The 14,220-nt window shown below is 32.2% G+C and overlaps 1 protein-coding gene across 3 annotated transcripts in view; it reads right to left on the reverse strand.

The window, feature by feature from the left end:
- The window catches only part of LRP1B (LDL receptor related protein 1B), a 1,899,594-nt gene continuing 1,886,778 nt past the window's right edge, over window positions 1,405-14,220 (reverse strand). For all 3 annotated transcript variants that reach the window (NM_018557.3, XM_017004341.2, XM_017004342.1), the window contains 4 exons: window positions 9,424-9,514; window positions 8,134-8,278; window positions 4,768-4,866; window positions 1,405-3,308 (listed from right to left, as the gene is read on the reverse strand). In NM_018557.3, the coding sequence (NP_061027.2) occupies window positions 3,168-3,308; window positions 4,768-4,866; window positions 8,134-8,278; window positions 9,424-9,514 (476 nt within the window). In that variant the 3' untranslated portion in view covers window positions 1,405-3,167. The remainder of the gene's footprint in view (window positions 3,309-4,767; window positions 4,867-8,133; window positions 8,279-9,423; window positions 9,515-14,220) is intronic.

The raw sequence follows: 14,220 nt of genomic DNA on the forward strand, positions 1-14,220 counted from the left end.
CCCCTTAGTCATAGCTTTTGACTGTTTACTACATAGGCACTACATGAATACCAAACTTCTATAACTCATTCATCGTCGACACTAAAGAATTAAAATCAAAACTTGGGGATACCATGATTTTTTTGAGCAGGGGCCTTTGTGGTGGTGGTTGTTGTTCCAGCTGAGAGTAATCTAATAACAGGGGACAGAAAGTGCCTCTAGATCAGTAGTTCTGATCAGGGACAATTTTGTTCCCCAGAAGACATTTGGCAATGTTTATAGACATTTGTTTGTGTCAACTTTAGGTAGTAGTACTGGCGTTACTGAAATGGATAGAAGGAAATGATGGTTCTAAATATCCTTCCCCATAAAGGAAAACAAATAATTACTTGATAAAATGCCAAAAAGTTGAAACTCATTGCTCTAGATAAGAAGGCATTTGGGTAGAGAAGCAAGTTCATCAAGAAACATTAATATTTATAAAATATCTCCCATCAAAGCTTGAAGCAATAGTTTAGAAAGCATTTTTTGATGGCATTTATAAAGAATTGTGACTTTGAAAGAGAATTATAAACTTGAATTTCTAGCATTTATAAAAATTTTTGCAATAGAAAATTGGAATAGAACACAATAGAGCTATGGAAACAGATTAAATTAACTTTAAGTAGTTGAAAATATATATTTATCATCTAAAGTAGCTGCAGGGCCCCAGGGTTAAAAAAAACACATTCTAAGCTTTGTTGACTATTGTTTTCACTAGGGCCCTAGTGAGAGTAGGTCATCAATGTCAGGTCCCAACTGGCAGTAGGTTGCATATCATATATTATTTGCTAGATATTTATACTAATGTTAACTGTATTAATATCACACCACTCTGTGGGTTCTTTGAAATATTTTCAGTTGCATTTACACAGCTCTGACATCAGAAGGCCCCTTCAAATAATATAACTCAATGTTAAGTAAATCAGACGCACCTATATTTTCCATCTCTAGTCTGATGCTAAAAGTAGGTATAGCAAATAACCATTCTAACAAAATAATGTGGAAATAGCGTCTAATGGAAATCTGATTTTCCATAAAGTACAGTTTTGGGGAATAGAAAGGGACAGGAAGAGCTTTGGCTTGTTTAGCATGGTTGTCATGCTACTGTGTATAGAACCTTTCTTTCTATTGCAATATGGAGACTCTGACAGGCACAGGAAGGCAGGGAAAAGGATAAAGTAAGGGGAGTGTTTCTACTCCATGAAGACAGAAAATGCCTTCTCTACTGTGCATTGAAAGATGATACAATGAAATCAGTTTTCCCCTGGAGTGTATTATGTTCTAAGGATATAAAAATGCCGTGTTTACTAAAACAGTTCTCTCAGAATATTTAAGCTACATAAAGGAATTTTCTTATTTTTAAAAACTACCCAACACAAGCTCTTAAATATGTAGAATTTCATTTAAATAAGTCAGTCAACAATTTTTTATAAAGTATTTAACACTTCATTGTAGAAACATAGGCAAAATGACTATATTATAACCAAAATGAAAAATACTGTTCAATTTAAAAAATGTACTTAAACAAGAACCTGAAAAAGTTTATGATATGCATAACATTGTTCAAGCAAAATTGCACTAGTATTACATAAATCAATAGTTTATAAAGGCCTCAATATGGCAAAGTTTAGAAATAGGTAGTATGCATGCACATAGTACAACAAAAAGTCTTCTTATAAAACAGCAGTTTTTTTAATGCTTGTACAAAGGGATAAAGAGCAACCACATATTTAACATATTTCATCTGTTAGGTTAATACATTATGACAGCTAAAAGTCAGTCATGTCTATCAGAGGAACAAAAAGCCCTCCAAAACTTGTGAATAAATCTTTTGTGCCTTTAAAGATATTTGTATAAAAATGCTATCCTTTTATTTTTATATACAACTTAAATAAATCGCACTCGTTTCAACTCAAATTTGAAGATAAACAAACCAAACGTGAATGGGGTCCATGCGTTCTGTAAAACCCAGAGAAACCTGAATACCAGAGCAACTGGCACAGCATTTCGACTCTCCACTTTTGATTATGGGAAGATCATTGTTCTTCTACAACTTGGAAGGCCCTTGAATATATTTTGGATAGGGCAAATAATGGGTTGCTCATATTAAATCTTGAAAATATTTGCCAATCACTCTGTATACTAAAATGTCTGCTTTGCCCTTTGTTTTTTGACCTAGCAAAGAGGATGCGTTCACGTAATTGAAATTCTGTCACCAATTTGTGTGCTTATATATTATTCTTTAGTGTTCAGTGTAGTGTAAGGGGTTGGGTTAATCTTCCACAAAATGGATGTGACTGGGAAGAAATACCTAAGATGCAAGTACCCAATGCCCTGTTGTGCTCTAGGCTGGCTATTTATCTCGAGACTGAGGGAGAATAAAAGGTCTTATTCCATAGCAAGTGCAGTCGGCCAACTTTCGGTTATATTTTTGCTATGTTCTACCACCTAAATATAACTATTGCTTACAAGGTGTATACATTTAGTACATCACATAGAGTCCACTAAGTTTTGGAAAATGTAGTCATCTGTGTTCATGCAAATTATTAATTTTACATATTTTTAATTTTTTTCCTCAAAATTCTCATCTATTGGTTGGCAATCTAAGGCTAATTTCAAAGCAGGTGATGCTGAACTTGTGAGAGCTATATATTTTCAGCAGAGTCTGAATCGATCTTTATGGGCACAAAGAAGAGAGTTGACCATTCAATCATTTTTCCATCAATTTAAACAGAAAAATAATATGACACTGTATTACAGCCTTCAAACCGTATAATGGAAAAGTGCAGAGATTCTCCTCGTTGATTAAGTACAACCAAAAAAGTTCATATAAAATAGATTGCTCATATTCACACTACAAAGGAATACGTTGTTTTTAATTTTAACAAATTCAAAGGTGTGTCATATCAGCAGCATTGTTGTAAATTGTACTGTAGTGCAGTTCTTTTTCATAAAAATACCATACAAATGGTCAATCAATAGTCATCAGCAAAAAATAAAACCCAAAAAACTCAGAAAACAATTAACCAGGAAAAAGATAAAGAAAGAGGTAATGCTGATGCCAAAACAAGTATAATACTGTTGGAACATACAAAAGTAATCCTTATATTTTATACATTTATACAGCATATAAAAGATATCACTGATTATGCCACTGTCTCTCTTATACCAATTTCTATTTTCTTTGGAAGCAGTTCTTTCCTTTCATCAACACTTCCTAAGGAGTTTCGACAGTTTTGCCCATCCATATATAATTTTGCATATACCGGATTGGAGTAATTTGTTGGCTGAAGGAGAAAAAAAATAAATATAATTTTATTACTGGTCTTGGCCACATTAATTATTTACTTCCTAGAATGTCCATCTCCTAATCGTAACAATATTTATATGCAATACATTTAATTTATTAAATAGTAATGATTTAAAGGTTATTTACATGTTACATTTACAGACTTTACTCAACTCAAGCATGGTATTAAATGAAACATAATTTTACATTTTGCAAGTAACTTGTGAACCTAAGAGGAGCTTTGCCATATACAAAAAGCCAGAAAAAAATCTTTGTAAAAGCTATGTTCACTGAGACTTTATTATAAAAGCATAAAATGTGAAACTAAATTGTCATGTTTTCAGTTTTTGTGTTGTCCCCCTTATTGCTATTACAAGCCTATCCGTGGCAAGTAAGATGTGTTTTCAGAAAAACATTTGTTTGGTGCTTATAATTTTTCAACATGAACTTAAAAACAAGTAAACAAAAATGTAAAGAAATGCATTAGTGTATCAGATTTTTAAAGCAATATTTTTGCCTCAAACAACCTGTGTGTACTTATTAGAAATATTTTTGGACTTTTTCAAAGAATTGTGATGTACACAGTCATCTTAAGTTTCACAAACATAGCATTTTGAAGTAGAATTAGAGGCATGCAGCAGCTGACCTCTTTGAGTTGGAAAACATATACATACAATGTTCACTATTTAACAAATTGCAGTTTATCCCAAGAAAATTTTGCCTAGTGTTTGTTTTCCTTATTTTTTGTTTCGTCTTTCCAAAAACAGTACATTAAATCTTAGTTACAACAAGGAAACATTATAATCTTTGAGCCATGCAATTGAGACAAACATGATAGAAAATGAGGATGAAAACAGTTGATGGGAAAGACGATAAGGGAGAGAATTCTCATCCCTAGGAATCTTGATAATGCATATTTTTATTCCTCTTCTGCTTAAAATGAACTATGTAACTTTAGACAGAACAGCTTTCTCTAAACACCAGTTACTTAATTGAAACATGTTTTTGAGAGTGGTTTTGTTAGACCGTCTGTAATTTCTCAATATGATGACACATTTTAAAGTATAGTCTATTTAACTGCACGTCAAATTTGTATATATTAAATAAACCACTATGAGAGGAAATGAATAAAATCAAAAGTTTATTCAGTTTTAATTTCTGGCTAGAGCTTCTTTGCTAAGAATAACAAATACTCATGTTCACTGTAAAGGGACAATAACATTTCCAAATCCAGTAGAAGAGATATTTCTACTTAATGGCTTGCCTAAAATAATGTTTTAGATGTAATCTTGCATAGACAGGACACATAACATAAGCCCCCAATTTAAATGCTATTTTGAAATCTCTTGTTAATTAAAAACTTAATTAAAAACAAGCCTCTAAGTCTAGTAATTAGTCTTTGATTGTGAGGGTTCTGTGATGAAACGGACATGAAATAACGAATATTCTTCTCTCACCCCAGCAGTTAGTGGTCCTTTCAAATCAGAGTTTAGGTAGATGGGCGGCGCTGTGTGTGGAAGCTTGAAAGCACTGGGTCCTCCCCCTATGTACCTGGCCTGTATATAAACAGAAAATTTTAGTTTCTGATCTAATATTATAGAATCACTTTTCATCGATACATATCATGTTAATTCATAAAAATAACATAAAAATACCCTTTAGCCTTACACCATTTACAGTGTGTTCATGTTAGCTTTAACAACTTAAAACAACTTAAAATATCCAATATTAATATTATTAAAGATCCAATATTAATATTGGATCTTTGCTTCATAGGTAGACATTTCTCTCACAAAAGTCTTATTCAGAAAATATAAAGAATAGTCCAAGTAAGAATTGGCATGAATTTGAAGATAAAACTAGTACATATTTATCTCTTTTAAACTCTTCAAACTGTTCTGTGGTTACCCCCATAGTCAAATCAATTTTATTAACTGCATTAAGTACTTTCAATCCTTTTGATTATAAGATACCATTGAACTAGAAATTTTACCCTCTTTGAGAATAACAGAAATGAGTGTTCTACAAAATTTTTCTTCACATGTAATGTAATTTATACTGATTGCACCATGCATATATCAAACGCTTGTAACAAAGTGAATGCTCTATAAAATTCATATGATTATTAAGGTTGCTTCAATATGGCCCTTTGTTTCTCACTACTGTCTAAACCTATTAGAACTAGCTGTTTTTTTCTGTAGTTACTCATTTGACAACAATTCACATTTATATTCAAATATCAGGATCCAGATAGAATCAGTCATCTAAGTCATATTTGATGCAATTTTGGTTATTCAGTCATCCAATTGGTAAATATTTGAGTATTATGTTCTAAGTACATTAAAATATATTTGGGGGCACTGAAACATAGTTTTATCTTCCTAGAGTAAATGTGAAAATTTTTGAATGTGTAAAAAGCTATTCTCTTTAAGTGTACAAAATTGGATTAATTCTATCACTAGAAATAAAAATGATGAGGAAAAAATAACCCTCCTTCATATGAAAAATGTGTAAAGTATATCGTCATTAGTCTGTTATATGTATGAATACTATATTTTTATTCCTAAGAAAAATGCAAAGAATTTCAGAACTCTATTATTTGTCTTTCTCCTTCATAGATATAATAGATTATCAATAGCAATGTGTAAAATATGTATCATGTCTCCACTTCTGTGATATTTTAAAGCAGAAAATATCAAATGTAAGGTTACCAAGACTTTTTCCTTGAAAAATTTCAGATGTAGGAGTGAATTTTAATAACTATAAAATTATGTCTAATTAGAAAAATATAATATTCTCTGATAGTACACAATGTATCCATGTGAAAAGATTGATTTTCATAGAAGTGAATAGTTGAGCATCAATTTTAGGCTTAGAAAGCCTAATCATGGGTTCAGAACTAGACTGAATATGTGGGATCCTATTCAGATTCTTCAGGAACACCAATGACTGTGATTGCAAAATAATTTGAATGTAGATTGGCCACATTGGATATTTACAATGTAAAAGTGCATTTTGATGAAGTAACTTTTGTAAGTCAGAAAAATAAATAACTATTCAATAAATAAGTGAATAAACCAAGAAAAATTGTTTCATAATACTAAATTGATACTCTTAATTTAGAGAAAAAATATTCTAAAATTATCAGAAAGAATATTCAGATAATTCACTGAAGTAAATCTTCACAACTTTAACTGGATAATTGTATCATTTAGCTATTTCCCTTAAAAGTTGCCAACCTCAGCTTATAGTAATAAAAACTAACAAATATTTTTAAATTTAAAAGGCTGTGGATTGTCAGGCTATATGTATCAATGAAATGTTTTAAACTAGTAAGGATATTATGACAGATAGAAAAATATTTCTCAAAAGTGATTTAATTACAAAGAAGTCCAAGGACACAGCTTATCTGGCTCATCATTTAAACATTATTGGAAACAACATACTTATTTTGATAATAAAGTACTGTACTCTTTTATATTTAAAAAATACACTGACCAAGATTTTTACACTAAGCTGTGTATCTAGATTTGCTAATACCTCAACACATTTGATTAGAGCATTATTTTACATGAATTATACATATTTATGAGATACTGTGTTTTGTTATGTTTTTATACATGTATACATTGCAGAAAAAATCAAAGTATTTAGCATATCTATCACCTCATACATAGTTATTTTTTTGTGGCGAGAACATTAAAAATCCTTTTCTAGCTATTTTTAAATATACAATACAATATTGTTAACCACCATCACCTAACTGTGCAACAGAACACCAAAACCCATTCCTCTTATCTGACTGTGACTTTGTACCCATTGAACAACACCTATTTTCCTTCCTCCTCCCCTCTCCACCCTCTAGTAACCACTATTCTACTCTCTACTTCAATATTAACTTCTATAGATTCACATGTGAGTGAGATCATGTGGTATTTGTCATTCTGTGCCTGGATTATTTCATATATGACAATATCATCCAGCTTTATCCATGTTGCCTCAAATGACAGGATTTCCTTCTTTTTTATGGCTGAATAGCATTTTCTTTATTCATTGTTGATGCACACTTAGGTTGATTCTATATCTTGGCTATTGTGAATAATGCTGTAAAAATCATGGAAGTACAGATATCTCTTCAATGTACTGATTTCCTACTTATTATGTATCAATTAAAACAAAAAACATTAAAAGAAGGATTCCATGTCTGAAGTGATGAAAACAAAACTATCTTGTAAGTATCCAGTTCCTACCAAACCAAAACCCCATAGAACCACACTGTAAGGAATACTGGGAGGAAGTGGGTAGAAAAGAAAATGTCTCACCAAACTACTTTTCAGCCATATTTCTAGAAGCTGTGCATGTATTGGTCTTCTCCTTGCATATATTTCAACATTGAAAGTCAGTAGCTTTACTTTATAATAGACCTTTATCTATCTATATATCTATCTATCCCCTGAAGAAGACCTAAACAATTTGCTGTGTGATATCAATACTAAAACAATTTTTAAATGAGTTTTTCGTTTGCTTTATGTAAACAAAATTAGATAATGAATCATTTTTCAATAAAAAACATATAAAAACATGTTTATAAAAGAACTGAGCAAATAAATATGTGTTTTCTAAGATGTGTTACACTCAGCTTCAGGTGAATGCAGTCCATAATTGTACTTTCTCTTTAGAAGAGGCTATATCATTCAATACATCCTAAAGTCCCTTATTCTAACTTCAGATAACAGAAAAACTTGGTGAAATTCAGAACCATAAAACAGAGATGCGACTCAAGAATGTTAGTGCTCACTGCCCATTATCTTAAGACATACTACCTTTGTTGGGTCTATCATAAAGCCAGGATCTAAAAGACCTCCATCGTTGTGATCATGATCTACCTCATACATGTTATAAGATGGATTGCCAATTTCTACATTTATTCCTCCATTGATAATAGGTTGTCTTCTAATTGTTTTTGTCCTAGAATATATAAACATTAATATGTGTGAGTTTTGTATAAATATCACAATCAAGGCATATGAAATTATATTTATAGATTTACTGACTTATTTTGAAATAAATTGAATAAATGACATTTGTCAAGTAACAGAGGAACAAAAAGTAGTACATTGATAGGCTGTTTTCCCAGTTGTTTTGACTTAATAAAAACACACTGGAAATAAATACCTCCTAAATAGCCGAAATGACATCATTTGAAATTGAATATTTACCAATCTTTTTAAATTCTATTTTTTCTCCTTTCTGAAAACTATCACAACAAAATAGTGATAAACTCTAAGATTGTTTTCAATCCCCAAGTTACATGGTTAGAATCCTGTTTTACATAAGTCAAATACTGACTCAAAAGCTCTTGGTTTTTAAGCTTATTTTGTACAAGTGCAAGTTTGTTACGTGGTTATATTGCATAGTGTTGAAGCCTGGGCTTTTAGTATGTCCATCACCCAAATAATGTACGCTGTACCCATTAGGTAATTTCTCATCAACCACCCCACTTTCATTTCCCGCCCTTCTAAATCTCCAATAGTTATCACCCTACACTCTATGTCAGTAATAATGGACATTATTTCACGTCCATTTGTAAGTGAGCACACATGGCTCTTGTCTTTCTGTAGACAACCTAGTCTTCTAGATCTATAAGTTCATTTTCATATAAATTGAAATGATACTTCTAATGAGGTATAAGTGAATCAATGCACTATTTGTGAAAGAAATGTACAAATTGGAGATGTATATATGCATATCAGTATCACTGTATTGACATTACTAATCATACACATTAATATAAAAAGATGCTCCTCAGAGACCCTTGCTGTTTCAAGGAAAGATAACTGCAAATGTAAAATCCTACTTAACTTTTGAATAATATGATCTCTTGTCAGTTTTGCTAGAATATATACATGGACCATTCCCTTAACATAACATGGGAGAAGACTTGTCTAAATTATAATCACTTAAAAGAGAGGTATAAAATGATTTGAAAAACATTGTATTTTACAGTTGGCATAACTAAATCATGTTTAAAAAAATTAACAACAAACATTATGTTTCTGCACCTAGTTGTGTGATTTATTCACTGACTGCTAATCTAGAACATTGCATCTTACCTTCTTTTTCTTTTACAAAGCACTAAACCAATTACTAAGGTGGTTATCAAAGTCACCAAGAGGACGAGAGGCACAATGATGGCAATGCTTCCTGGAAAATAAATGAGTGAATAGATGAAGAAATAAATAAAATGAAGTAAAAATTGATAAAACTAAGTACTTTATTATACCAAATCACTTGACCATTGATATAATAAAAGCTTAGCCCAAATGTTTATATTTCGGGTTCATAATTATGTTATTGGAAAATCATTCTTCTCTTAAACACTTGATCTGATGGAAATGTTTCCTTAGATATCTTTCATTTATGTGTTGCATTTAAATACCTTGAGATTAGAGATCTGACTTTTTTGTTGATCTGTGTTTAGTGATTCCCATCACACACATTTACTAGCAATGATGCAAGTACCTGCTAGTACCTCTTTTTAAATCAACTAAGACTGAATAAACATTTACACAGTTTCACTGACCACATTCCCACCCTTAGTTTTGTTCCTTTAGTCATCCATACTTTCTGGTCAGGGGTCCATGTGACAAGTTAGGTGGCAGCCTGGTGAAACAAAAGGGGTATCAGTGTTTGATTTGGATGGAATCTTGGTGTAAATATTGGTTTCACAACTTACTTGAAGTGAGACCTTATGTAGGTTATTTAAATGCTTTGAGGCTCATGCTCTTCAACTGTAAAACACAGAGAAGAAGACTTACCACAAAGGGCAGTTAGCTTGATTCCACAGAATTAGGGGGTGAAGAGGTTCTCTTTCTCATGTTCTAGTTTCTGAACAGTTTTAGCAAGACATATTTTAGGAGTTTGGCTTATGTGGCAAATGTCAATTATTTTCCTTTCTTCCATATATGAGAAAGGTCTTGGGTACTAGCACTAACAGAATAGATCTTCAAAAATGATCAGTGAAATTTGGTCTTTGTTTTTATGCATCTGAGCACAGGGAGGAGGCAAAATGGAGGAGACTTGGTTTTCTATGTATATACTAGATTAGCAATAGGGTAATCGATATTTTTAGTCAGTGAGTAGGCAGACAATAATAGCCCATTGCTAATAATGTGACCCACAGGAGAATACACCCAAATATCACTTATTATAAGAAGAAAACTGAATACAGGGTTGCCTGATAACAGGAAAGTATGACATAGCTAATATTAACTTTTCTTACTGAAAAATATCTAGTACACATGAAACAAAGGCTTTTATCTACTTTGAATAAACCTCTGGTTGACAAGTCAACTTAATCACTGGTTAACCTAAGAAACCAAGCAGCCCAACAACTAGTTAAAATTGAACATGGAGATCTTGAATGGATTAAGAATAGAACATTAAAAATTCTGAAAGTCTATGAATTTTTCAGGCAAATACATGTGCATGTGAAAGTATCAAGGTAGAAATTAATGGTGATATGCACAATAACCAGCCACTTAGAACTGTATTATAAATATATAGATATGTTTTAAGGGCTTTATAGCCAGAGGATATCTGGGTGAGATAATCCATACTGGACCACTTGCCAAATACCAAAAAGGCTTCATTAAGAAAATTTCATGTATAAGATAAATCTCTAATTTAGAACTTCGAGAAATAACTCGTGTAAAATAACCAACCATCTCTTCTATCCACTTCTTCAGACACTTTCTAAAATGTAAAAGTCATTTTGTTTTTTCATGTAGTTATGAGAACTTATGGTGTTTGATATTACTATATTACCTCCTTTGTTTTGGGAAAGTGAACTTTATATGCATCTGTAATTTATTAGCAGCTGTAATTTATTAGCAATTAATGAAAGAGAATCTGGCAGCTTGGATGGTAATTAACACTTGTTCACAAGTTTTAAATACCAGAGAACAGCTTGGTTTCTTCAAAAACTATGACTTCAACTGCTTGATCATGATTTTACAAATATATCTACTTCATTTTCCTCTAAAATTTGTATAAAATTGGTGGGTGTAAAATACCTATCAATATAGTTTTAGGGTATATAAAATTTATTTTCTCTCAATGCAATTATAAATCATTTTTTAAAAATAGATTTTACTTGTTCTACAGTTTGACATTCCTATGAGGTAGGAAGCTGTTAATTAAGTATGCTAGAAAATAAAAGGTTTCTTTTTTTCCCTTCATAGATGGCAGTTGCAATCCCATATATTACAGCATTTTGTGTTTAAGAGCCTAGACTTCTGATATGTTTATGTAACCAATCAAAGTAACTACTATAAAACCTAGTGTCACTGATAAATAATGCAGGGTAGAAGATTAGCAAGTTTTTTTAAAATTTTATAAAATAGTTTTTATTGCTGGAAACACAGGTATTTTTAAAATTAACAGATATTATAAAAATAAGTACTTTTTCCCTAGTATTATATATGACAGTAAATTTCATACTGTAAATACAATGATCAATCCCTATTGCAGGTCATGTTTTAACAGTACATTGTTAATAGAGTATTAGAAACTGAAAAACATAGACTCTGTACTTATTAAGGGTGGAGGGGATATCTCAACAAGTTTCTCATAAAAAAAATAGAGCAAGTCTTTTTTTGCAACATGGTTCTGAAACCTCATCATGCAACATTTTTCCATTAGAAGAAAGAACTATAAGTGCTGTGTTGAAGAGCCCCTTTCCATAGGAGAGCTAGTACAGCATAGCAGTTGAGATAATGGAGCCAGGCTACCTCTATTCAAATCTGTTTTACTATTCATTACCAACATATGCTCAGGCACATTAATTATATTTGTCTCAATTTACTCATCTATAATATGGGTATCATCATTAATAGTTATCATACAGTATTATAGATAGGATTATGCCAATCAGAAAATACTACATACATGCTTAATGAACAAAACACATGTTCTCATAGCACTCTGTACAAGCTTCTATTCTGCACTTTTCACAATATAATGCATCAGTTTGTTTTTGAGATATTTGAGGGCACAATCTGTTTCTCCTTGTTCTGCAAATAGTGCAGTCCTTAGGATGTCATAGGGTCTATAAATTCAATTCTTATTTAGCAAATATATCTTAAGTGCTTGCTGTGCTCCAGACCCTGAAAATATACTCTATTTTGCACTGAGGATAAAATGACCCTTCTCTTATATTGCTTGATGTATAACAGAATAACAAATAAATGGGTTCATTCACTATAGTAGCATGAATGCTGTATTAGGAAAGTTTGCATTGTTCTGGGAATATAAAGGAGGTGCCTCCAACTAGATCTGGGGTGGAAGGAGACTAGTTTGTCTCTGAGGCTTAAGGAGCAAATCCTCTGTTGTCAGTGAAGAGACTTTAAAGGCCAAGAGGATTACGATTAAGGAAAAACAGTTGGGCTGGAAGGAGATGTGACTGCAGTGGAAAGCAGAGGTGAGATTATGAAGGAGTGTGTAAGCCATATAAATCAGATGGGCAATTGTACTATTTTTTTCTTTTTAAAAGGATGATGTTGAAGAAAATTTAGGAAGGAACATCTACTGAATTTATTGTTTGATTCAACTTAGGAAAGAGAGAGAAGTTTAAGGATGGAACTTAAGTGTTGTTTCCATAGCCAGGTGGATTGGCTCAAGTCTCAGCGGAAGTATCACCACTTTTCAGCCATCCATATGGATGGACAGAAAGGCAAAATAAGGTATATGAAAATGACTGTGGATAGGGGGCAGTGATGAGATCATTTGGGAACTGAGCTTGAGATCCCTGTGGAATATAGATGACACAGATACAGATATATCAAGCAAGCAGTGAAATACATGTCTCAAACTTAGGAGATAAATCAATATTGAGCATAGGAATTTTGGGGAATCAACAGAGTTGATAACTCATGTCAAGGATTATGTCCTGGCAAGGAGAGTGTATCTAGTGATAAACAGGTAAATTAATCAAGCAGAATAGAAAGAAAATAATGTCAAAAGGAAGACAGAGTTGCTTCAAAAGAGGTAGAAGAGAAACCAGAAGTGTTCACTATCATGAAGTTCAGAGGAAGAGAACATTTTATTTACTGATCAAATTTTCAATAGAACAATATTAGCATAAGTTATATAATTAAAATGACTGCCTTTGACATGTTGCTCTATACCCTGTTCTTAAGTTTGTTTATAGATATGTATAAATGTAGAGTATATATATTTGTTGAAATTAGCATCCTTTCTCTTAAGCATTTTGGTACATTGTAATGTTAAAAATTGTAAAGAAAATATGTTCCCAACTTAGTAAAGGTGATCCTTCCAGTGGTCTTCAAGAGGCTGCCTATCACCTTGGTCCTGTATCTCTAACTTCACTTTGTACCACTCTCCCCCTTGTTCTCTTGATACCAGCACACTGGTCTTCTTTCAGTCTGCTGGACATGTCTAACTCTTTCTTGCTCCACGGTTGTTGTACCTGCTGTTCTTTATTCTTGTACCTTGAGCCTCAAGTCTCAGCTGAAGTATCACCACCTCAGAGAAAACACTCCTGGCCTCACTTTTCCTGTGACATTCTCTATCTTTGCCCTTTTTATCTTTTTTGTTTTTGCTTCCTTCACGGACCAATCAAAACTCACAATTACTTTATACATTTGAATATTTCCTTTTTTATTTACTTCCTTGTTTTATTGCTGTTTACTCCATTAGAACCTCAGCTTCATGAGAAGAAGCACTGTCTGCCTTCCTCACTGACCTGCCTCTGGGATCTAGTGCAGTACTTGACACTTAGCAGAGACTTGATAAACCTTTGCTTTGGGAGAAATGGAAATAAAACATTATTTTGTTGTGTTTTTCAGTTACATCTCTATATTTGCAGATTTATAATTCCTGGTATAATA

The sequence above is a fragment of the Homo sapiens genome, chromosome 2 (assembly GCF_000001405.40).
Source record: "Homo sapiens chromosome 2, GRCh38.p14 Primary Assembly".
Taxonomy (NCBI): domain Eukaryota; kingdom Metazoa; phylum Chordata; class Mammalia; order Primates; family Hominidae; genus Homo; species Homo sapiens.